The sequence below is a fragment of the Homo sapiens genome, chromosome 4 (genome assembly GCF_000001405.40).
Source record: "Homo sapiens chromosome 4, GRCh38.p14 Primary Assembly".
NCBI lineage: Eukaryota > Metazoa > Chordata > Mammalia > Primates > Hominidae > Homo > Homo sapiens.
The window spans coordinates 62,080,591-62,107,937 of NC_000004.12; the positions used below are offsets into that span (position 1 = coordinate 62,080,591).

The 27,347-nt window shown below is 36.2% G+C and overlaps 1 long non-coding RNA gene and 1 pseudogene across 1 annotated transcript in view; both read right to left on the bottom strand.

The window, feature by feature from the left end:
* ADGRL3-AS1 (ADGRL3 antisense RNA 1) overlaps window positions 1-27,347 on the bottom strand; it is a 90,011-nt gene that overhangs the window by 8,836 nt on the left and 53,828 nt on the right. The window lies entirely within an intron of this gene.
* Window positions 25,030-25,489, bottom strand: RPS15AP17 (ribosomal protein S15a pseudogene 17; annotated as a pseudogene).

Consider the following 27,347-nt stretch of genomic DNA (forward strand, 5'->3'; position numbering starts at 1 on the left):
TGTGGGGTCTGAAGTTGTGCATTTGAAGCAAGTGCTCAGTGATGCCTCTGTGGCTCTTCCAGCTAGTATCAGGCCACTTGGGCTTTCTCCATGTCTTCCATATGCCTGTGATCAGGTTTATTATTCCCTCTAAGTGGTTATTTTTAGGTACTAGGGAATATATTACAGGAAAGGAGACAGACATGTCTAGATGTTGCTCAATTTTACCAAAAGATATATATGTTTTGATTTTTGGAAATAAATACAGCATATTCTCAAAGCTGGTAATGGTTACACCAGTACTGAAGCTAAAGCCACGGCTCTTTTAGTCCAGCGTGTTAGGTGAAAAATGTCATGGGAAAACGATACACACACACACACACACATACATATGTGTGTATGTATATATGTGTATATATGTGTGTGTCTGTGTGTCTTATGTGTTTATGCGTATGTCTGTGTGTAACTGCATATATATAATTGCATATATATGTAAAATATACACATATACATGAAGTAATTGCTTATTATGAAAAAAGATTTTACCTAAGTGTTATTTTCCTCATAAACACTTATCTAAGACACGGTGGAAATAGCTATTAGAGATAACTAACGTTTTTAGCATGTGAAACAATCTGACTGTTGAAACTGGAGATACTTGCTGATCTTTGTGTAAAGTGTAGAATAATCACATAGGTACATATGACAAAAAGTGAAAAATTAAAGAATGTCCAGGAAGCAATAACATTTTGAGTTTTATAAATACTTTAAAAAAATCAGTTATAATTTTTGTTTCATTATAATACTAAAAAGTTTATTGCTAGAAAATAATCTTCTTTGATTAAAATATCTCATAAGATAAAAGTGAACTTGTCTTCTCTATTTACCTCTGAGACACTTTATTCAGGATTTACTGCCATTAACGGGAGTAGAAAATATAAATGTTTTATCCAAAAGTTTCAAGGATGTTAACTGCTCTGAAGATTTTATGTATACATTGAAATAAAAGATCCTGTCCAGATCGGTGATTGTGTGTTAAGTGTATTAATGTCAAAACACATCATTGTATTAAACAAAAATGTGTAATTATGAATTAGATAACTCTTATAATGAACATGGTCTTTCAGATAATCAAAATTATTTGAAAGCAAGACTCATACTGAATTTCCAAGATATTAATTCTCTTAATGTTTCCAATTGGGAAAAAAATTTCACTAAAATATTTTATTTTGATTTTGATATTCATGCTTTGCTTACCATAAGATGTAAAGAATTTGTATTTGATATTTAGTACACAGCCTTAATTCCACCAATCAAGCCCATATTCCAGAAATTAACAATGAATTTTATATATTGGGAAGAAAAGATAAGGTATACTCAAATATAATTCCCCTTGTCTTACCCTTTATGCCTCTTAAAGCTGGTAATTTCTCACATCTTAGAAAGTCTTTAGCACATTGTTAATTCTATCATTCCATTGTAACTGAAGAAAACAGAATTCCATTAATTTCCATTAATGCAGAATAACACAGTAAGAAGAAATAGACAAACTGGAAAAATGCATAAAAACTTTTTTTTTATACTTTCAACTTTTATTTTAGATTCAGGGGGTTACATATGCAGACTTGTTACATGGGCAGACTTTGTGATGCTGAGGTTTGGGGTAAGAATGGTCCCATGACCCAGGTAATGAGCAGAGTACCCAATAGGTAGTTCTTCAGCCCTAACTTAGTCTTTAGATCAAATTTTCATTTAACAAATTTTCATGATTTATTAGGCTTTGTCTCTATAATCTAAAATTATTTAATTAATAGAATTTTTTTGCAGTTGTAACCTATGTGTACGTAGATTGCCTAAAAGATTAAAAATAAATAATGATACTATTTGGTTTTTAAAATTGGAATAATATCCAAGAAGACAGAGTCGAGACTAATTACTGACCCTATGAAGAATACAATAATTCAGTGTTACATTTTAGTCACTTATTTTGAAAAGACCTTGATTAAACTTATCTTGCTATTTTCAAATATTATGAAGGTCAATAGAGTAGTTAGTTTTGTATTTTCCCAGCCTTCCCTGCATTAGAATCACTAGAGCACATTAAAAAAAAAAAAAAAAAAAAAAAAAAAGGCCAGGCCTCACACCACACTAATTAAATCAAAATATCTGGGGGTGGTTCTCAGGTGTAAGTAAATTCTAATGTGATTAGATTTTACCAATGATTCGATGTGCAGTTGGGGCTGAGAATCACAGAGTTAATTGCTTAATACATATTGGGTATTTGCATTAATCATGTTTAAATATTCTTAAAACATTTAAAAACAACATTTTAAATATTTCTTACTTTTTAAAGCAAGAAAGAAAGATGAATAAGGAAATTCAAAATAGAAAATTTCTTGTCCCCAGAAGAATGCAGCTAATTGCCTAAATATGATTTATGGATAGTATATTATTCAAGTACAAATCAACTGGCTTATTAAATCATCTTTTTCATGATTTAATTCACAGAATAAATATTCTTATTAAAAATATCTGTGTTTCTATCATCATTTGGGGGGATTATGAATATTATCACGGTAGAAAGAGGTCAGTTATTAATTTTAAATCAGGCAGAATCACAGACACATATCAGGAACTATTTACATGGAACAAAAGCATCTTCAAGTTTTTCTGGAAAATTTAACAATCATTAGACCGTATGTCTACATGGCATTTAGCACAGTGTGACAACTATCAAAAACCTACTCTTTGTAAAACTGAGTTGATTATAATTCCATAGAATAAAGCTATAAGCTGAAGGATTGTCATTTTTTATTCATAATAAACAATAATTATTGTTTCTTCAATATGACTTTAACTGTTGTATTTAGCTTTTGTGGGCCACCCAATTCACATTCTCCTTTTTAAGTTTTAGTAAATAATTGATAGTGATTTCTAAAAGGTTCTCTAGACAGGAATAGTATGGAGGACTGCATGGAAGATAAGAACAATTCATTAGATAGAAAAATCACCTCTGTTTCATTCTCACACCCACCAGTATTCTCCCTCAATTTTTGGAATAACACATAGAATTATACATCTAAATTGCCTAAACCAAATAACACATAACTTTGGTGGATAATGTGATGGGATGGCAAATCATTTTTGACTCTAGTGACAACCCCTGATCAACTGGTAATGTCTGTTTGGAGCACTGTCCTCAAACGTTTTCTACAGTATTATTAGTAAGAAAGACATAAATAATGCCTTAATGGATTTTTTATGTTTGCTATGACAGGGAAAAGAACCACAGGTGAAAATGATCAACTCATGTGCAATTTACATGACATCTCTGATATACAAGTTGTTAACACAAATAACTGACACACATATTTTAGAAGAGTTTGGAGCCCTATTCTTTTTTTGATGATAGCTACTTTGGTTATGTAATGATAGATAATATTTTCTAAAGAGAGCAGAAAAATTATTTATATCATGTATTCTGCTTGTTCCAGATGCTTAATTTATATTACTTACATAAAGTGAAGTTTAGAATGATTTTCTTTTCCATTACTTTTCACAGAGGTAAATACTTGAGCTTTCTTCTTTATCCAATCATCACTTGCATCTGGCCGCATCCCTAACCAGTCTCCCTTAAGATTTGGACTAAGGTGTATTCAATCTCATTGCAATACAGCATCTGTTTTCTCTTTTCCTACCTATCAATTTTACTCTCGTCTTCATTTTATGTTTAATCTTAGCCTTCGTCTTTTTCTCTTTTTGTTTCTATGTTGCATAAAAGTCATTTATATTTTATCTAATGTTTCTTTGTTCCATAAATCAGCAGCGCCTTGTCTCACTTGGTCTAGAGATTTACTTATCAACTAGCTCTTTCCTGTCTCCCTTCTGTCTCTCAGTAGTCCCAGCCCCAGTTTGCTTCAGCCCTCAGCTGGATTTTATTCTAGCCATTTTCGTTCATCTCTCTGGGCTTCTCCACCTATCACTCTAAGCTATTTGTCTTTTCTGTGCATAATGTAAATTCACAGAGCTGAAGACCTGAAACAACTCTTGAAACCATTTAATCCAATTCCTTTATAGACGGTAAACTGAGAACTACAGAGGACATCTGATGTTTCAAGACCATACCTTATTCATGGTGGAGCTAATTATTGATCAGGGTTTCCTAATCAGCACATTTTCCTATGTTATTTTTTTCTATTTACCTTGCTAAACCCTCCTACCATGATGTATCTGTTTCATATGTGGTCTAGTTTCTCCTTTCTTACTAGGTATTTTTCAGGAGACTTTGGTTTTAAATAATAGAGCCATAATTCACATTTACTTAAAGTAAACAAATAAAGAACCAATGCTTTAATAGAATTAAAAGTACTTTTAATGGAATTAGTGGAATTTATTGATTCACCTCATCAGGGATGATTTTGGCTGGTGCCAGAGCTGGTTGGGAACCAGGACAATAAACACACTACAGACTTTTTCTGTGTCTTATTTCTGTTTCTCCCTATGTAATAACTTGATTTTTTTTTCTACTGAAAGGCACAATTTTATGGTGGCTGAGTGTCCAGACTTTGAGTTTAGACTGCCTGAGTTAAAAGCCTGCTTCCTCCATTTTCTAGTTTTGTGATTTTGAGCAAATTCCTGTCTGCCTCCAGCTCCCTACTCTGTAAAATTGGGAAAATAATAAAATCTACTACAAAGGTCTGCTGGGTAATAGAGTTAAAAGCATGAGTTACTAAAGTGTTTAGAATAGTGCCTGACACATAATAAATACTTAAGGATTGTAACCTATCATTGTTGCAGCAGGACAGCCTCTTTTCATAGACAGAGGCATGTTTGAAAGCAGCTTGGAATTTCAATCAAATGGCTCCATGAGACTATGAAAGGTCTCTTCCCTGAAACTGGTTAGAAAGCTGCCAGGAAGGATTCAGATTCACCATGCGTGATTCTTTCACCTTTCCCTGGACAAGTTTTGCCCAAAGGATTGGGTACCATGATTGGTCAACCCTAGGCTACTGAGGATATCTTTGACTAGAACAGCAAAGTCTTACTAGAAGCTGGTATGAGGGGGAAGCTGACCAGATACACTGGTATTGGCATCAGTTCTTACAATACTGTAGCTTGCCAAGTCTATGTGAGACATGAACTTTATGAACTTCATTATTTCATATCTAAATCGTGCTTCATATCTGACTGAGTTCACTGTTTATCTTTACTCAATTCCATTTCCATTTCATCAGTGTAATGCTAATAAAAAGCAAAAGTTAAAGTCACAATTCAATCAATGTTCCAAAGCTGCACATTTCTATTGGTTGCGATTAATTTCTGTGCTATCCTTAATAGGTCTTGATTGTAAACATTAGGAAATCAGAAAAAGTTTAGTTCTTCTATTTACTCTTCTCATTTTCATAACAAAGCATTGAATTTCACTCTGTAAATTTGAAATTTTCAAATACAGAAATACTACTTTTTCTAAACACTTATATGTCCTTGAAAAGATAATTAAATTTGTTTTGATGAAAACTCTTTCTCAAAATAGGATAGAAATAAAAATGCTATTAGGTTTAATCCGGGATTAGCAAGACATATCCAGAAAGGCTTTTACTCTCACCAAGTCCGAAGGCTTATAGCTGAGGGATACACACCACCACAATATACACATCTAAATAAAAGAACTGTTACACTCAAAAGGATTCTTCTTTCAGTTTGAAACAATCTTTCAGATAAAACTGGGGGAACTTTCCCCAAGGCGTACTTTGCGCCTAAGCATCTTATTTGAATATGGACTACTGATCTTATCACACAACACACACACACACACACACACACACACACACACAAACACAAACACACTAGGCTATCGGAAAAGAAAGAAGTGAAAAAAAAATATTTTTATATATATATTCACAACAGGGATGAGAAGGGAAGATTGTTCTCTGTGGAGCAGAGTCACCAACAGCAGCAAAGAAGGATAAATGTGACAGTCTGAAAGACAAAAAGAAGGCCCTCACCAGATTATAGTCTCCTTGACCTAGGACTTCCCAGCCTCCAGAACTGTGGGACAACAGGCCCAGGGAAATGGAGGACCTGGCTTACCCACACAGCAGAATCAGAACTAAGACCCAACTATCTTATCTCTTAACTCAGAGTAACTTCTACTAGACCACAATATTTGGACACGCAGTGTGCTTTGAAGTAGGAGAAGATAAATCTAGGACCAAACATGTTTTGGGGTTTATTTTCCATCATCTCAGTGACTTCCAGTCTCCAGCTTCTGAGTCTTTTTGCCCGAGGGCTTCAGACTCATGTCTGGGGTAAGCCAAAAGCACTGGGGGTTCATTCCCCAGGAGCAACACTTAAGCAGTGTAGGATGAGTGCTGTGTATGTGTGTGTATATATACACACAATTCTAGCAGACAAAAAGGAATCATAGAATTTTTTCTTTTCCAATTTCACAGAGACTCTAAGAGGAGTATGTATGCAATATACACTGGGGGATGCACATTCTTTGAGTCAAGGAGAAGATACAATTCCTTGTATAATGCCATAGGATTTCCAACTACCAAAAGAATGCAGAAGTTAAGAGCAATTACAATTCTGCCTCTTCTGCTCAATGATCCATCTGTATATAGAGTTGTGTTTGATTTGTTGGGATTCTCAGTTTTATTCTAAGTTGTCTGAGGTTTAATAAGTAAACAAAAAGAAGAAGTGCTGCTAAAATTTGATTTTTCTCTTGAAGCATTTCCAGAAATATTAAAACCTAGACAAAAATAAAAACCTATTGAGTGGTCTCATTAAAAAAATAGTTTGAAATGTTCCAAATCTGAGATGAGTGACTTGGATATATATCAGAAGAATTACTTGTTATTTCCAGTAGATTTAATTTAAAACAAGTTACAGAGGAGACTATCATAAGAAAATGATACGAATCTTTAATTAGAACAATTAAAACCTAATTGTGATTTAATTACAGATAAGATTAAATTTTATCAAGTTAAAAAAGGTTCAAGTGAATGCTTGATTGAAGATTTGCTAGATTTAAAAGTCTGGATTTATTTTGGAATTGTGGAATTTAATTATAAAAAAAGAACTCTATCCTTATTTATGTATATAGGTTTCACATTAAAGCAGTTGCATAATTTTGGTAAACTATAGTTTGGTAGCTGACATTTTTCATTTCCTGTTATCTCAGATAAATAACAACACAGAAAATCAACATATACTTTAAATTTTCTCAGAGGAGTATCAGCTTCAAGATCAAACCACAATACTGAGGATTAAATCACACTTGGGGCTTATGTAGTCACATGCCCAAAGTGTTTGAAAATGCTTTCAAGTGAAGGGAGTGCTTAAAAGGATTATAACTCTCAAGACTATTGTAACTAAGCATATTGTGCTACAAATAAATCCTGATGTGACTGTTACAGAAAAACAGGTGCTGTAAAGACCATCCTTTAGAGAGAAAATAGAAACTGTCTATGCATATAATAAAATTTATTTGACTAAATGAGCTAAAGCTCTGGTGTCCCCAGAGTATTAGAATGCTATTCAGCAATTATGTCCCTACTGAGATTTAATTATCCCATTAGATATTTATTTACTACTACATATTAAGTTAGAGTACACCATTAGAGTCGGTGGAATAATAAATACATAACTGCTGCTAGATAGAAACAGCTTAGCCAAAAAATTATTTCCAGTTACTTTGCAAATATTTAACACTATGCCCAGAACTATGCCTTGCCCATAGAAAGCATCTAATAAACATTTTTAAATTTTTTTAAATTGTATTTTAAGTTCTGGGATACATGTGCAGAACGTGCAGGTTTGTTACATAGGTATACACGTGCCATGGTGGTTTGCTGCACCCATCAACCCGTCATCTACATTAGATATTTCTCCTAATGTTATCCCTCCCATAGCCTCCCACCCCTTGACAGGCCCCAGTGTGTGATGTTCCCCTCCCAGTGTCCATATGTTCTCATTGTTCAACTCCCACTTATAAGTGAGAACATGCAGTGTTTGGTTTTCTGTTCCTGTGTTAGTTTGCTGAGAATGATGGTTTCCAGCTTCATCCATGTGCCTGCAAAGGACATGAACTCATCCTTTTTTATGGCTGCATAGTGTTCCGTGGTGTATATGTGCCACATTTTCTTTATCCAGTCTATTATTGATGGGCATTTGGGTTGAATCCAAGTGTTTGCTATTGTGAATAGTGCTACGAAAAACATATGTGTGTATGTGTCTCTGTAGAATGATTTATAATCCTTTGGGTATATACCCAGTAATGGGATTGCTGGGTCAAATGGTATTTTTGGTTCTAGATCCTTGAGGAATTGCCACACTATCTTCCACAACGGTGGAACTAATTTACACTCCCACCAACAGTGTAAAAGCATTCCTATTTCTCCACATCCTCTCCAGCATCTGTTGTTTCCTGACTTTTTAATGATCGCCATTCTAACTGGTGTGAGATGGTATCTCATTGTGGTTTTGATTTGCATTTCTCTAATGACCAGTGATGATGAGCTTTCTTTCATATGTTTATTGGCTGCATAAATGTCTTATTTTTGAGAAGTGTCTGTTCATATCCTTCACCCACTTGTTAATGGGGTTGTTTTTTTTCTTATAAATTTGTTTAAGTTCTTTGTAGATTCTGGATATTAGCCCTTTGTCAGATGGATAGATTGCAAAAATTTTCTCCCATTCTGCAGGTTGCTGATTCACTCTGGTGATAGTTTCTTTTGCTGTGCAGAAGCTCTTTAGTTTAATTAGATCCCATTTGTCAATTTTGGATTTTGTTGCCATTGCTTTTGGTGTTTTAGTCATGAAGTCCTTGCCCATGCCTATGTTCTGAATGGTATTGCCTAGGTTGTCTTCTGGGGTTTTCATGGTTTTAGGTCTTCTGTTTAAGTCTTTAATACATCTTCAGTTAATTTTTGTGTAAGGTGTAAGGAAGGGGCCCAGTTTCAGTTTTCTGCACATGGCTAGCCAGTTTTTCCAGCACCATTTATTAAATAGGGAATCCTTTCCCCATTGCTTGTTTTTGTCAGGTTTATCAAAGATCAGATGGTTGTAGTTGTGTGGTGTTATTTCTGAGGCCTCTGTCCTGTTCCATTGGTCTATATATCTGTTTTGGTACCAGTACCATGCTGTTTTGGTTACTGTAGCCTTCTAGTATAGTTTGAAGTCAGGTAGCATGATGCCTCCAGCTTTGTTCTTTTTGCTTAGTATTGTCTTGGCTATATGGGCTCTTTTTTGATTCCATATGAAATTTAAAGTAGTTTTTTTCTAATTCTGTGAAGAAAGTCAATGGTAGTTTATTGGGGATAGCATTGAATCTATAAATTACTTTGGGCAGTATAGCCAATTTCACAATATTGATTCTTCCTATACATGAGCATGGAATGTTTTCATGTTTGTGTCCTCTCTTATTTCCTTGAGCAGTGGTTTGTAGTTCTCCTTGAAGAGGTCCTTTGCATCCCTTGTAAGTTGGATTCCTAGGTATATTTTTCTCTTTGTAGCAATTGTGAATGGGAGTTCACTCATGATTTGGCTCTCTATTATTGGTGCATAAGAATGCTTGTGATTTTTGTACATTGATTTTGTATCCTAATACTTTGCTGAAGTTGCTTATCAGCTTAAGGAGATTTTGGGCTGAGATGATGGGGTTTTCTAAAAGTACAATCATGTCATCTGCAATTTGACTTCCTCTCTTCCTATTTGAATACCTTTTATTTCTTTCTCTTGCCTGATTGCCCTGGTCAGGACTTCCAATACTATGTTGAATAGGAGTGGTGAAAGGGGGCATCCTTGTCTAATGCCAATTTTCAAAGGGAATGCTTTCAGATTTGCCCATTCAGTATGATATTGACTGTGGTTTTGTCATAAATAGCTCTTATTATTTTGAGATATGTTCCATCAATACCTAGTTTATTGAAAGTTTTTAGCATGAAGGAGTGTTGAATTTTATCGAAGGCCTTTTCTGCATCTATTGAGATAATCATGCGGCTTTCATCATCGCTTCTGTTTATGTGATGGATTATGTTTATTGATTTGCATATGTTGAACCATCCTTGCATCCCAGAGATGAAGCCAACTTGATTGTGGTAGATAAGCTTTTTGATGTGCTGCTGGATTTGGTTTGCCAGTATTTTATTGAGGATTTTTGCATCGATGTTCATCAGAGATATTGGCCTGAAATTTGCTTTTTTTTGTGCGTCTCTGACAAGTTTTGGTATCAGGAAGATGCTGGCCTCATAAAATGAGTTAGGGAGGAGTCTTTCTTTTTTTATTGTTTGGAATAGTTTCAAAGCTCCTCTTTGTACCTCTGGTAGAATTTGGCTGTGAATCCATCTGGTCCTAGGCTTTTTGTTTTTGGTTGGTAGGCTATTAATTACTGCCTCAATTTCAGAACTTCTTAATGGTCTATTCTGGGATCTGACTTCTTCATGGTTTAGTCTTGGGAAGGTGTATGTGTCCAAGAATTTAACCATTTCTTCTAGATTTTCTAGTATATTTGCATAGAGTTGTTTATAGTATTCTCTGATGGTAGTTTGTATTTCTGTGGGATCAGTGGTGATATCCCCTTTATCCTTTTTTATTGTATCTATTTGATTCTTCTCTCTTTTCTTCTTTATTAATCTGGCTAGCGGTCTATCTATTTTGTTAATCTTTTCAAAAAAACAGTTCCTGGATTCATTGATTTTTTGAAGAGTTTTTCATGTCTCTATCTCCTTCAGTTCTGCTGTGATCTTAGTTATTTCTTGTCTTCCACTCGCTTTTGAATTTGTTTGGTCTTGCTTCTCTAGCTCTTTTAATTGTGATGATAGGGTATCAATTTCATATCTTTCCTGCTTTCTCTTGTGGGCATTATCTTTCCTGCTTTCTCTTGTGGGCATTTAGTGCTATAAATTTCCCTCTAAACACTGCTTCAGCTGTGTGCCACAGATTCTTGTACATTGTGTCTTTGTTCTCATTGGTTTCAAAGAACATCTTTATTTTTGCCTTAATTTTGTTATTTACCCAGTAGTCATTCAGGAGCTGGTTGTTCGGTTTCCATGTAATTGTGCAATTTTGAGTGGGTTTCTTAATCTTGAGTTCTAATTTGATTGCACTGTCATCTGAGACTGTTATGATTTCTGTTAATTTGCATTTGCTGAGGAGTGTTTGACTTCCAATTATGTGGTCAATTTTAGAATAAGTGTGAAGTGGTGCTGAGAAGAATGTATATTCTTTTGATTTGGGGTGGAGAGTTCTGTAGATGTCTATTAGGTCCACTTGGTCCAGATCTGACTTCAAGTCCTAAATATTCTTGTTAAGTTTATGTTTCATTGATCTGTCTAGTGTTGAGAGTGGGGTGCTAAAGTCTCCCACTATTATTGTGTGTGGGAGTCTAAGTCTCTTTGTAGGTCTCTAAGAACTTGCTTTATGAATCTGGGTGATCTTGTATTGGGTGCATATATATTTAGGAGAGTTAACTCTTCGTGTTGCATTGATCCCTTTACCATTACATAATGTCCTTCTTTGTCTTTTTTGATCTTTGTTGGTTTAAAGTCTATTTTATCAGAGACTAGGACTGGAATCCTTGCTGTTTTTTTGCTTTCCATTTGCTTGGTAAATACTCCTCCATCCCTTTATTTTGAGCCTATGTGTGTCTTTGCACATGTTATGGGTCTCCTGAATACAGCACGCCAATGGGTCTTGGCTCTTTATCCAATTTGCTAGTCTGTGTCTTTTAATTGGGGCATTTAGCTCATTTACATTTTTGGTTAATATTGTTATGGTTTTGGTTAATATTTGATCCTGTCATTATGAAGATAGCTGGCTATTTGGCCTGTTAGTTGATGCAGTTTCTTCATAGTGTTGATGGTCTTTACAATTTGGGATGTTTTTGCAGTGGCTGGTACCAGTTTTTCCTTTTCATATTTAGTGCTTCCTTCAGGAGCTCTCTTGTAAGGCAGGCCTAGTGGTCACAAAATCTCTCAGCATTTGCTTGTCTGTAAAGGATTTTATTTCTCTTTTGCTTATGAAGGTTAGTTTGGCTGGATATGAAATTCTAGGTTGAAAATTCTTTTCTTTAAGAATGTTGAATATTGGCCTCCACTCTCTTCTGCTTGTAAAGTTTCTGCAGAGAGATCTGTTGTTAGTCTGATGGGCTTCCTTTTGTGGTTAATCCGACCTTTCTCTCTGGCTGCCCTTAACATTTTTTTGTTCATTTCAACATTGGTGAATCTGAGGATTCTGTTTCCTGGGGTTGCTCTTCTCGAGGAGTATCTTTGTGGCATTCTCTGTATTTCCTGAATTTGAATGTTGGCCTGCCTTGCTAGGTTGGGGAAGTTTTCCTGGATCATATACTGAAGAGTGTTTTCCAACTTGTTTCTATTCTCCCTGTCACTTTCAGGTACGCCAGTCAAATGTAGATTTGGTCTTTTCACATAGCCCCATATTTCTTGGAGGCTTTGTTCATTCCTTTTCATTCTTTTTTTCTCTAATCTTGTCTTCATGATTTATTTTATTAAGTTGGTTTTCAATCTCTGATATCCTTTATTTTGCTTGATCGATTCTGCTATTGATACTTGTGTATGCTTCATGAAGTTCTCATGCTGTGTTTTTCAGCTCCATCAGGTCATTTATGTTCTTCTCTAAACTGGTTATTATAGTTAGCAATTCCTTTTACCTTTTTTCAAGGTTCTTAGCTTCCTTGCATTGGGTTAGAACATGCTCCTTTAGCTCGGAGGAGTTTGTTATTACCCACCTTATGAAGCCTACTTCTGTAAATTTGTCAAATTCATTCTCTTCCAGTTTTGTTCCCTTGCTGTTGAGGAGTTATGGTCCTTTGGAGGAGAAGAAGCGTTCTGGTTTTTGGAATTTTCAGTCTTTCTGCACAGGTTTTTCCTCATTTTCATGGATTTATCTACCTTTGGTCTTTGATGTTGGTGATCTTCAGATGGGGTTTCTGTGTAGATGTCTGTTTTGTTGGTGTTGAGACTATTCTTTTCTGTTTGTTAGTTTTCCTTCTAACAGTCAGGCCCCTCTGCTGCAGGTCTGCTGGAGTTTGCTGGAGGTCCACTCCAGATCCTGTTTGCCTGGGTATCACCAGCAGAGGCTGCAGAACGACCATGATTGCTGCCTGTTCCTTCCTCTGGAAGATTTGTCCCAGTCGGGCACCTGCCAGATGAAAGCCAGAGCTCTCCTGTATGAGGTGTCTGTCAACCCCTGCTGGGAGGTGTCTTCCAGTTGGGAGGCATAGGGGTCAGGGACCACCATGAGGGAGGAGGCAGTCTGTCCCTTAGCAGAGCTTGGGCACTGTGCCTGGAGATCCACTGCTCTTTTCAGAGCCAGCAGGCAGGGACATTTAAGTCTGCAGACGCTGCACCCACAGCCGCCCCTTCCCCCAGGTGCTCTGTCCCAGGAAGATGGAGTTTTATCTATAAGCCCCTGACTGAGGCTGCTTCCTTTCTTTCAGAGATGCCCTGCCCAGGGAGGAAGAATCTAGAAAGGCAGTCTGGCTACAGCAGCTTTGCCAAGCTGCAGTGGGCTCTGCCCACTTCGAACATCCTGGCGGCTTTGTTTACACTGTGAGGGGAAAACCACCTACTCAGGCCTCAGTAATGGCAGACGTCCCTCCCCCAACCAAACTCCAGTATTCCAGGTCGACTTCAGACTCCTGTGCTGACAGCGACAATTTCAATGCAGTGGATCTTAGCTTGCTGGGATCTGTCGGCGTGGGATCCGCTGAGCTAGACCACTTTGGCTCCCTGGCTTCAGCACCCTTTCCAAAGGAATAAAGGGTTCTGTCTTGCTTCCAGGTGCCAGTGGGGTATGAAAAAAAACTCCTTCATCTAGCTCTGTGTCTGCCCAAACGGCCACCCAGTTTTGTGCTTGAAACCCAGGGCCCTGGTGGTGTAGGCACCGGAGGGAATCTCCTGGTCTGCGGGTTGCGAACACCATGAGAAAAGCCTAGTATCTGGGCCAGAATGCACCATTCCTCACGGCACAGTCTTCATGGCTTTCTCTGGCTAGGGGAGGGAATTCCCTGACCCCTTGCACTTCCCAGGTGAGGCAACACCCCACCCTGCTTTGACTCGTCCTCTGTTGGCTGCACCTACTGTCTAACCAGTCTCAGTGAGAAGAGCCAGGTACCACAGTTGGAAATGAAGAAATCATCTGCTTTCTGCATTGATCTCACTGGGAGCTGCAGACCAGAGCTGTTCCTATTCGGCCATCTTGCCAACTATTCTAATAAACATTGTTTTTTTAAATGAAAGAATAGAAGATCTGACCTGCATTTTATTTAGCTGCTATTATGTGATCTCCTTTGTAATAAACCATATAGGGATCCACTTAGAACTTTAATTGGAACTCCAAACTATATTAAATGAACTTGGTGAAGCGAAGTAATGTGAAAAAAAAAATGGAAAAATAAAGAGTGTCTCTTACAAGTACCAGAGATTTATTTATTTATTTTTTAACACATTCTGCTAGGGTTCTTTTCTCTACCAAAAGCTACCATGGGTTGGCAAGAGAAGGTTTACTGTGTTAAAAACTGAAATACAAAGGGCTAAAGATAAAGCTTTTGGATAAGTATTTCCATTTTGTAGTTCTTCAAAGAAAAAGAAAAAAAAAACTGCTTTACTGATCTCAAAATAAGCTTAGTGGTTCCCAGTAAACTGGTATTCATATTATACCTCTTATTCAAAGAGTTAGAAAAAGTTATCATGCCTGCAAAATAATCTCTATCATGATAACATTTCTGTCTCGATGAAGCATAAAGAAGCTCCTCTAAGACTTATCTCCATGTTTCCCAAACTATTTTGATATTTTTCTGTTCTTTGAGATGTTATGTGTGTTTTCAAGGAGAGGCAGGAGGGGGTGGTTTCTGAAGGTCAAGTAATTTCAGAAAGACTAGATCAAACATATTCAAATATATTGCTCTCTCTCTTTCTTTCTTTTATTCTTTCTGAGATGGAGGTCTTGCTGTGTTGCCCAGGCTACTCTTGAACCCCTGGTCTTAAGTGATGCTCCTGACTCAGCTTTCCAAATCATTGGAATTATGGGTGTGAGCCACTGTACCCACCTTTAAACACATTTCTTAACAACAGGGTCAGCAAAAGCTTTAACATACTAACCTTCACTCTGTGTTTCCTTAAAGAAAGCATAAACCAAATGTTTATTAGGAAGATAAATGATAGGATATAAAGGAAGGAAATCAAATTAGAAAAAACTTTAGGGATCCATTACTAAGTCCACAGTCATTGATTTCTAGACCTAGTCCTCAATCAGCAGGCTTTCAATTATGCTCTCTTTTATAGTTAAAATGTTGGAAAGGAGTGACAGAGTAAACTCACTCTTTAGTGACTAAACAACTATGTGTTACACACCCAGCCATCATTCAGAGCTTCCCTTTTAAAAAGACAGGATCAATATCAGCAGGGGTCAGCCAAGTAAACTATAAGTACTCTTATTATTAGGTTGGTGCAAAAGCAACTGCAGTGTTTGCAATTGCTTTTAATAAAACCCTTACATTATAAAGATGCAATTAGCCCAGCTAAAAGTCTATATGACTGATTCTTATAGTGAAAGGTGGCCAATGAGATGTAGGTAGACATTATTGATATTTTTTCCAGGGGGCTGCCTCAGCTAGCAGTGAGTCCTTTATCTTTCTTCTTCTTCCTTATTCTTGTTGGAATGTTGCTATGATAGTTAGAACTCTAGCAGCCGTCTTGGACCATTAGGAAACCTTGAAATAGAAAGCTATGGACTGCCGGGCACGGTGACTTTCACCTGTAATCCCAGCACTTTGAGAGGCTGAGGTGGGCAAATCCCTTGAGCTCAGGAATTTGAGACCAGCCTGGCCAACATAGTGAAATCCATCTTCACACACACACAAAAATAATACAAAATTTAGCCGGGCATGGTGGTGGGAGTCTGTAATCCCAGCTACTCAGGAGGCAGAGGCTGCAGTGAGCCAAGATCCTGCCGTCGCACTCTAGCCTGGGCAAAAAAAAAAAAAAAAAAAAAAGAAAAAGAAAAAAAGGCCATACACTAAAGATGGCAAAGGAAAAACAGTGAAGAAGCCGAAGTTCCTGCTGCTGACTGCAGCTTCCGTACGAATGTAAACTGTCCACTTTCAGGCCTCCTTAATCAGTGAGGAAATAAGTATGTCTTGTTTTAGTCATAGTTATGTAGACTTCCCTGTCATAGACAGTTAAACATAATTCCTAACTGATAGCGCATCCAGTGAAAATTAATATTTTGGGTTTTTTTTTTCTGGTAGAGGTGAGGGGAAGTAATAATCATGCCATTTCTTTAAACATAAGGAGAGGGTGACAGAGCTTTACGTTTCAACATTAAGCTGCAAGTTCACATCAAAGGCTCCTTTTAGACTCCCTAAAACAGGACAGTTCCATTTAATTCTAATCTCTTCATGGATTATATATTATTGTGGGGGAAATCTCAGCTGTCATTTAGCTACAGCACAGCATGCTTTCTCATTACCAGCCTGCAGTTATCAGAAGAGCTTCCTCTCGAGGTTGTAATCATTATGAAAATGGCAATGAGGTACTTAGTCAAAAGAGAGTAAAGTGTGCTTCAATTAAAACTTGATAGCAACATACATCTTTCTTTTCTTTCTTGACTCATAAATAAAAGCTGTCTATACCAACACTTAACTACTCAATTAGGAACCAGCACTAAATAAGGTTTAGCAAGGGCTGTACTGGCAAACACAGCATGAAGTAGCCATTGGAGGAAAGCTCTACTGTCTTATTAGGGAGGAGATGGTCATATATGGGATATAACTTTTCTGTTCATGAGGACATGCCGTCTTACCGAAAGACTTCAGAAAGATGTAACTCTCTCTTTAGGCTACACACAAGACATGTGACTAGCATGATATAATTACTTATAGATTATAAGTGATTGGTTGGTAAAACCACTTGTTGGGAAAGTGAATTTCTGTTCATAGAAGCAACATCTTCTTGTTGTGTCCATATGCAGGTATTTCTGTTATCTAGAGTTACAAGGAACGAACACAAAGAGTAGATCTAAGTGTAGTGACAAGTGAAGAGATGAGTTTTAGCAGGTGGTTACACGAAAGAATAGTGAAGATTATTAGAGGTAAACTCATGAGTATTTAAAAGTGACTCAAGGTTTGATTTCATTGGTTCTCACACAGATGAATGACCATTGGCAGCCAAGCTAATAGAAAGCCTTTTTTGGAAATCATAACACTTTCAAATTAAATGAAGACAACTGTAGATGTCTTTTTATAAGGATCTTCCTATGAAAAATAATACAAACTTCTTATAAATCACAACAAAACAACTATAAAGAAAAATCTCCAAAGCGAATATTCCAGAAACAAGAAAGATCTGATGCCCTTTCCCATCTCTCTCATTGTAAAATACTAAATCTTTACTACAAGATTCAGCGCCCAGCTTCCTCTCTGAATTCATCTCCTATAACCGTTCCCCACATTCCTCTCAGCCACACTGATCTCCAAGCTGTTCTTCAAATTTAGAAGGCATAATCTTGCTACAGAATCATCTAATTGCTGTTCTCTCTGCTTTACAGCTTTTTGCCAAGAAAATCACTAAGCTTATTTCCCACATTTCCTTCAAGTCTTTAATTAAAAGTTGCCCTTTCAATGTGGCTTTCCCTAGCCATTCTATCTAAAAATTCATCAGTCTCCCTCTCCCACTCCTTTTCTGTTTGTCTCTTGACATACTGTAATTCTTACGTATTTATCTGGTATATTATCCATCTCTCAAGATTATATTTCTGGGAGAACAGTGATTTATGTCCATGTTGTTAAGTAGCATATTCCAATACCTACAACAGTACATGGCAATAGTATATGCTAAATTAATATATGTTAAATGAATGAGTGAATAAATGGATAAGTGATAATGAAAACAAAATAAAACAAAAAAGCATGTTATAAAACTTGCCACTGATATCAATTTGGTACATATTCTACCAAAACCATTCTAGGGACATGCAATGTGTATGTGTGGTTTTGTGTGCATGCACACATATGTGTATATATATTTACAAGCGTATATACACACATTTTATTTAATTATATATTTCTCACTGACCTAAATTTATATATAGTAGTCTGCCCTTATCCTCAGGAAATATGTTTCAAGACCTCCAGTGGATACCTGAAACTGAAGATTGTACTGACCTCTCTATATATACTGTATTTTTTCTATACATTCATACTGTATAGTATAGATATGCTGGACGAAAGGATAATTCATATCCTGGGTGGGACAAAGCAGGATGGTGCCACATTTCATCATGCTACTCAGAACAACATGCAATTTAAAACTTATAAATTGTTTATTTCTAGAATTTTCTGTTTAATATTTTTGAACTGCAGTTGTCTGTGGATAACTGAAATCATGAAAAGTGAAGTCATAGCTAAGGGAGGACTGCTGTATGTAGATTTAATATATTACTTAGGAGAAATAATTTGCTGCAAGTTTCTTTTTTTAACATTATGATTAGTCCACAGGAAACTTGCTATTTAATACCTATATATTTCTATTATTTGTTATAACAGTTTATGTTTTTCAACCAGGTACGACATCTCCTTTAAGTTAGTTCTAGATTTTTTGCCGTTCATTTCACATCTGCTTTACAATTATGTTTGTTAGTGTATCTGTAGATAAACTGATAGAAGTAAAATTACCAAGTCAATGGTGTATGCAGTTTTAACTTATTATCAAAAATTTTAAACATATACTAAAACAGAATAGTACAAAACCCACAAGTAATTAGCATTCTCTTTCAATCATTATCAACAAATGGCAAGTATTATTTCACCTATATTCCCATCCACTTCTTCCCTTCCCATTTTATTTTGAAGAATATCATTTTTATGATTAGCATTGCTTTTTATAAAGCAAATCATGCCGTTTCAACTATACGTATTTCAATATACCTCTCTAAGAGATAATGACTTTTAATTTTAACCTAACTGTGATACAACTTGTACATATTAAAAAGTTCTTTTAAAAAATCCTCAAATATCTAGCTAGTCAGCGTGCATATTTTCGGTTGTCAGTTGTTTTATAGTTTGCTTAAATCAGGAACCAGATATAATGCTTCCTGGGCATCCTGTTATCCCTTTTTTTCTTACTTTTTTGTTGTTGTTGAAGAAAACATGTTTGCTTTGTGGAGTTTATAACAATCTAGATTTTGCATCTTACCAGGTTTCACTTGTAGTGATTGTTTTCTGGTGAGAATGTTTTCCAGGTCATTTAGATGCCCGTTGACTTTATTCTCATACCTCCTAGAGATGTTGTACATTGCAATAATATTGTTATTGGTGGTTCATTCCATCTGCTTGTATTTTGGAGTCCATGACGATACTTTATTATCCATTTTTGTTGTATTTGCTAGCTGTGAGGTTTTGTTTTGCTATCCAACTTTCTGTGTCTCTTTTTACGATATGATTTTGGAAACTCCAACTTTATGCCACTACAATAATCTCCTCAGAATTTTCTAGAAGAGTGGTGTGTGGGTTCTCTTTTTTTTTTTTTTTTTTTTTTTTTTTGAGGTTAGTCTTGCTCTGCCTCTCAGGCTGGAGTGCAGTGGCATGATCTTGGTTCACTGCAGCATTTGCCTCCCAGGTTCAAGTGATGCTCCTGCCTCAGCCTTCTAAGTAGCTGGGATTACAGCTGCCACCACCTGCTAATGTTTTGTATTTTTAGTAGAGGCAGAGTTTCACCATGTTGGCCAGGCTGATCTGAAACTCCTGACCTCAAGTGATCCATGCACCTCACCTCCGGCTCCCAAAGTGCTGGGATTACAGGCGTGAGCCACTGTGCCTGGCCTAGAGTGGTGTACGGATTCTTAATTATCATAGATAGTGACAAGTGTCCTTCAATAAAGACTTGTTCATTGTATTCTCTCACATAGAATTTATAAAAGTTTGTTTCCCTGAAACAGGTTCAATTTCCCCATAGACCTTATGTTTACAGATGGTTTTTGTTTTTATTGTTGTTTTTGTTTGCATAAACATAGAAATTGACCTTCCTGGTCAATTGAAACTTGCATTTGTCTTATCTGAATTCCCTCCTCAGGAAACCAACCCTCAGGCTTCCCAGATAGTATTAAGGAACTGAAATGCCTCTTCCTTGTCCCCTAATTCCTGCTTTTCTAACTGATCATCTGCTTCCTGTTGACCAACTCCTCTTCCTTCCCTCCCTAATTCCCATTTTCCTGCACATAGCTACATTCCTTCCTTACTATATAAACCTTCAATTATAGTCAGAGAACTGGGGAGATGGATTCAAGATTTATATTCCATCTCCTTAGCTGCAGCATCTGAATAAAGGCTTCTTCCCTTGTAATATTCATTGTCTCAATTATTGGCTGGTCATGCAGTGAGTATTAGAACCCCAACCAAACCCTGGTGTTTGGGTAACATCCGTGCATCATGACTCACATTTGATACTACCATTACTTTTCGTCTTTGGCAATCTAACCAATAAGCAATTATAAGTCAGTGCTTTACATGGACTTTCATGAATGCAACTTAAAAGAGAGGTAATCTGTCCTTTTTCCCAGATGTACTAGGCAATCTTGTATGTTTTCCTATGGATTTATGCTTTATATTCTTTGAACACATTCCTTACAGGTTAGTGGTCTTGTTTGTATTAATTTATTATTTTAATATACTAACAAGTTTATTTTCGGAATTTTAACATGGTAATTTATATGTGTCATTAAGTATTCCATGTCTTTTGTTTTTTTTGTAAATATCCTGTTATTTAAACATCCTGTTATCCAAATATCCTTTTTCCCTAAATTATTTGAAATCCTATATTTACTACTCTTAAATTACCAAACTGTACTTAGATTGACTAATGGACATTCAATATTGAGTCACTGAACTGTGTGCCTATTCTTTTTCTATAAACATTCATTTAAAATTGTTATGGTTATAATATTTTAATATCTATCAGGACTGATATGGTTTGGCTGTGTCCCCACCCAAATCTCAACTTGAACTGTATCTCCCAGAATTCCCATGTGTTGTGGGAGGGACCCAGGGGGAGGTAATTGAATCATGGGGACTGGTCTTTCCCATGCTATTCTCATGATAGTGAATAAGTCTCATGAGATCTGATGGGTTTATCAGAGGTTTCCGCTTTTGCTTCTTCCTCATTTTCTCTTGCCGCCACCATGTAAGAAGTGCCTTTTACCTCCTGCCATGATTTTGAGACCTCCCCAGCCATGTGGAACTGTAAGTCCAATTAAAAAACTTTTTCTTCCCAGTCTCGGGTATGTCTTTATCAGCAGCATGAAAACAGACTAATACAAGGACTATATCCCTCTCAACAAACTTTCTTAATTTTTTCTTTTTACAAAATGAAATTCAGTTGTAATTTTCAGTTTCTAAGGGAGTAAGTGGCTTGCCTGAGGTCATATAGCTAGTGGGGGTAGAAGCACTATTTGAAATAAAATAGTCCTGGCTCCAAAATCTGTACTCTATTTACATAGTTCTTATTTTTTAAAAATACAATTGTTTTCATAGAACAAGAAAAACAAATCTGTGTTGTGTTCTGTGTGCCAGATTCTGTGCTAACTGCTAAGGCTACAAAGATAAATTACTTTGTTTCTAGACTTGAGAGCTTATTGCCTTATATCCTATTGTTATCCTTTTTTATTTCCAATTTCCCTCCAGAAAATCATATATAAATCTTTATAAAACCTTTAAACCCATAAAAGTCATTTTTAATATCATAAATACATCAGTTGGGTACGAAGACAGTTTCTAAAATAATTATTGTTTGGATTCATTTTTATGGAGGAAGAGAAGAATGCTTAAAAAAAAATAAAAGCAAGGCTTAGATTTGAAAAAACAGAGTAAGTACAATCTCTTCTACAAAACAGTTGTATTTGTAGTTTACACATAAAGGTCTTAACATTCCCTAACTCCTCTTTAGAGATTATTTGGTATACTGGAAAACATGGCTCTTGTTTCAAGTCCTTGCTCCTTATGTTAGTTATTTGTTGCTGCACAACAAACTATCCCTAAACTTAGTGGCTTAAAACAAAAACATGTATTGTCTCATAGTTTGAGAATCCAGGTGAGGCTAGCCTGAGTGTTCCGTTTCAAGTTGCAATCAAGGTGTGGTTTAGGACTGCAGATGAAGAAAGGTTCAGCTGGAAAAAAAGTCCCCTTCCAAGCCCATTCACATGGTTGTTGGCAAAATTCAGTTGCTCGTGGTTGTCACACTAAAGACATCAGTTTCTCTGAGAGCCTCAGTTATTTACTGGCTATTGGTCAGAGGTTGCCGTCAATTTCTTGCCACTTGGGCCACTCTGCAGAGCAACTTACAGCATAACAGCTTGCCTCATCAGAGCAAACAAGCAAAAAGACAAGAGGGAGGTGTGCTAGCATGATGGCAATCACTAATCTAATCTTGGTAGTACCATCCCATCACCTTTGCTTTACTCAGTTCACTAAAAGTGGGTTACTAGGTTCATCCCAGATGCAAGTGAAGGTAGTTAGGAAAGGGCATGAATAACATGAGGGAAGAGTCATTACAGGCATCTTAGAAGTCTGCCTACAATTTTTCTCTCTGTACTGATTCTGCAACATTGGTTTATCTATGAAATAAAGGGTAGTCAAAGAAAAGAAACATATTTATCAATTATTATCAATAAAAGTAAATCTAGGTATGCATGGGATGCATATATCAGTATTTTCTTTATTTTTACTATTACTGATAGTATTTTTACTATTACTGATAATAACTAACATTTATTAGATACTATATGCCCAATATTAGGATAAATGGCATGCAAGTTTGATCTCATTTAGTATTCATATAAGATTGTTAGCATAATTCTAAGAGTTAGGTAATACTATTTTCCCTTGTTACATTTGAGGAAGCTGAGGCAAAGAAAATCTAAGTAATTGTGCCAAATCATACAATTAGCAAAAACTAGTCAGCCTATCTCCAACTCTGTGACTGATAACTCTACAGCATGAAAAAAAAGGGTATATACATACAGGTATACATAAACATATATTTAAAAGACCTTTTCATAAACAGTGTAAAACAGTATACACACACATACACACACAGAGCCTTTGTCTAAATATTGTGAACTGGATACTCTCCAATTCACTTCTAGTAACAGATTTTGAGACCAAAATCATCTTCTAGGTAGACCTTTTGGGTATCTGAAGAAAAAAAAGCCAACTATGAGTTAACATCCACATAAACATCATGCAGTTAGGCTATGCTGCACATAAATTTTATAAGCCTACAGCAGTTATTACCCTGAACTGTGAAAAAGCCTGAACAGACACAAACTGTTTGCAGATAATTGTACTGACATTCGTACTTCATTACTTTTAATAGAACTGAATTTGCAGTGTTCATGCCAGGGTACATGAGCACTACCTTCAGGAGAAAGACATATCATACGTCCTTTTCTCAGTTGAATAGAATGCTTTAGGCAAGAGGTCACTTTGTGGCATGAAGGACATATTTGCTTAACTAAGAGACCAGCTTTAATTAAAATAAAAGAAGTTTTAAAAGGGTTTTAGATGATTCTGTCCATCTAGCCTAGCTATAGGTAAAAATCATTAGATAATAGAAAGTCATCTTATAATGGAGCACTGTGTGCAAATTTGGTATTAATTCCATGTATTATATATCGAACATCTACTAGGTAAGCTATTTTTCCAAATTGAGGAATAAAATATGGGACACACACACACACACAGATAGATAGATAGATAGATAGATAGATAGATAGATAGATAGACAGATATGTTGTCAAGAATTACTCTTGCATTCAATGAGTAATGAGATTAAGAAAATGTTAAAACATTTAGTAGGAAACATTTAATTAATAAAACTAAATAGTTAAATATAACACTCAGGCTCCTGCACCTACTGGTTTCTACAGGCCCTGAAACCAGCCCATTTTCTGTACCATGACTCTGCAGTCAGTCGTTCAAGTCAGTTCATTCAATGCACATCTGTTGAAAGAAAATAGGTTGTTTTGATGGCTATTTCCTCACTCATTCAACTAGTGATTTCCTATACTCCCCCTTCTTATAGTCTTTTCCTGACTAATGCTACCCCACACATTATTTTTACACATTTAAAAATTATAAAATATGGCCGGGCGCAGTGGCTCATGCCTGTAATCCCAGCACTTTGGGAGGCCGAGGTGGGCGGATCACCTGAGGTCAGGAGTTCGAGACCAGCCTGGCCAACATGGTGAAACCCCGTCTCTACTAAAAATATAAAAATTAGCTGGGCGTGGTGGCAGGTGCCTGTAATCCCATCATCTATTCAGGGTGCTGAGGCAGGAGAATCACTTGAAACCGGAAGGCGGAGGTTGCCGTGAACCGAGGTCGTGCCACCGCACTCCAGCCTGGACAACAAGAGCGAAATTCCATTTCAAAAAAAGAAAACAAAAGATAAAATATATCACACACTTGCATAAGAATCCCAAAATGTATAGTTTAAGGAATAATTGTAAAGCAGTCACACATTTATTTGATTTCATGTATTTATTTTTAAGTTCAGGGGTACATGTGCAGGTTTGTTACTTAGGTAAACTTGTTTCATGGGGGTTTGTTGTACAGATTATTTCATCACCCAGGTATTAAGTCTAGTATCTATTAGTTATTTTTTTAAAAATCTTCTCCCTCCTCCCACCCTTCACCCTGCTACAGGCCCTAGTGTGTGTTGTTCTCGTCTATGTATCCATGTGTTCTCATCATTTAGATCTCACTAAATGAGAACATGTGGTATTTGGTTTTCTATTCCTGTGTTAGTTTGCTAAGGATAAGGCCTCCAGCTCCATCCATGTCCCTGCAAAGACATGATCTTATTCTTTTTTATGGCTGCATAGTATTCCATGGTATATAGGTTCCACATTTTCTTCATCCTATTATTCCACATTTTCTTTATTCTATTATTGATGGGCATTTAGGTTGATTCCATGTCTTTGCTATTGTGAATAGTGTTGCAGTGAACATACAAGTGCATGTGTCTTTTTTTTTCCATGAGGCATTTTATTTGTAAATATATGTATTACATCCCTAGAAAAAGAATCCCAGGATTTTCCCTCCTGTGTGTTTTCGTCTTGCTTCTTCACGGTCTGTGATGCCAGCTGAGGTTGTCAGTATAATGAAACCAAACTGGTAGGATGGAAGCAGATTATTCTGCCATTTTTCTAGATCTTTGAGTTGCACATGAAATCTGGGGCTAATCACTCCACACTTGTTTAGCCTGTCTGTGAGGTACACAACCATTTTCCCAGCTCTGTGATCATCAGTGATTTCAAATTCGCCAATGTAACCATGCTTCATCACAGTGAGAAACCGGATGATGACTTCGGAGCACGGCCTAAGAAGCACCTGGCGTTTGCCTCTCTTTTTTGCATTGTTGATCCTTTTGAGAGCATCAGCCAGGACATTCGTGCGCACCATTGCGGCAGTGCAGAAAGATGGCGGAAAGAGCACGAGCATGTGTCTTTATAGTAGAATGATTTATATTTCTTTGGGTATATGCCCTGTAATGGGATTGCGGGGTCAAATGGTATTTCTGTCTTTAGGTCTTTGGGGAATCACTACATTGTCTTCCACGATGGTTGAACTAATTTACACTCCCACAAACAATGTATAAGCATTCCTTTCTCCATAACCTTGCCAGCATCTGTTACTTTTTTGACTTTATAATAATTGCCATTCTGACTCGTGTGAGATGGTATCTTATTGTGGTTTTGATTGGCATTTCTCTAATGATCAGTGACGTTCAGCTTTTTTTCATATGATTGTTGGCCACATATATGTTTTATTTTGAAAAGTGTGTATTCATGTCCTTTGTCCACTTTTTTAATGGTGTTGTTTGTTTGTTTGCTTCTTGTAAATTTGTTTAAGTTACTTATAGATGCTGGACATAGATCTTTGCCAGATGCATAGTTTGCAAAAATTTTCTCCCATTCCGTAGGTTGTCTGTATACTCTTTTTTTTTTTTTTTTTTTTTTTTTTTTTTTTTTTTTTTTTTTTGCTGTGCAGAAGCTCTTTAGTTTAATTAGATCCCATTTGTCAATTTTTGCTTTTGTTGCAACTGCTTTTGGCATCTTTGTCAGCTGCAAACAGGGATATTTTGAGTCCCACTCTTCCTATTTGGATGCCCATTATTTCTTTCTCTTGCCTGATTGCCCCAGCCAGAACTTCTAATACTATGTTGAATCAGAGTGGTGAGGGAGGATATTTTTGTCTTGTGCCAGTTTTCAAGGGGGATGCCTCCAGCTTTGGTCCATTCAATATGATGTTGGCTGTGGGGTTGTCATATATGGCTCTTATTATTTTGAGGTATGTTTCTTCAATACCTAGTTTATTGAGAGTTTTTAGTTCACAATGGATGTCAAATTTTATCAAAAGCCTTTTCTGCATCTATTGAGATCATCAGGTGATTTTTATCTTTAGTTCTGCTTATGTGATGAATCAGATTTATTAATTTGCATATGTTGTACCAACCTTGCGTCCCAGGGATAAAGCCTACTTGATGGTGGTGGGCAAGCTTTTTGATGTGCTGCTGGATTCGGGCAAACACACATTTAAACAATACCCAAGTTAGGAATTAGAAACTCACCAGTTAACTCGTAGACCTATTGTATGTTTCTTCTTGCTTTTACCCTTTCCTTTCAACTCTTATTTTTTTCTTTGCAGCATTATTATCTGTTTGCAAATATTTAAAATTATAATATTGTTTTTTCTTTTTTTTGAGTGGCATTACATTGAAATTATGTTGAATCCTTTGTTGACTTTATTTTTTGCTAAATTTCATGTTTATGAAAGCCATTTTATTGATGGGACTATCTGTAGCTATTTTTTATTGTTGGAGAGCATTCTAGTTTGTCAACATACTACCATTTACTTATTCACTCTACTGTTAATGGATATTTGGATTATTTCAGTTTGGGGCTATAACATCAACGATGCTGTGAACATTATAGTACATTTTTTTATGTACATTTACAAAAATATCTAGGCTTTATTTATTTTAATTAGATAATGTCAAATTATTTTCAATATTACTGAATAATTTTAAACTATTTTCAAAAGTGAATGTACCTGCAGTGTATGAGTTTCTGCTGTCCCATATCCTCACCAACACTAATATTTTCTTATTCTTATTCTTATCAATTTTAGTTAGCTTGGTAACCAAGTACTGCTTTCTCATGTTATTTTTAATTTGTATTATTTTATTTGTAATTAAGTTGAGTATATTTACATATGGCTATTGGGTCATTTGGATATTCATTTACATCAAATAGTTATTTTAGTCTTGGGACCATTTTATTTGTGTTCA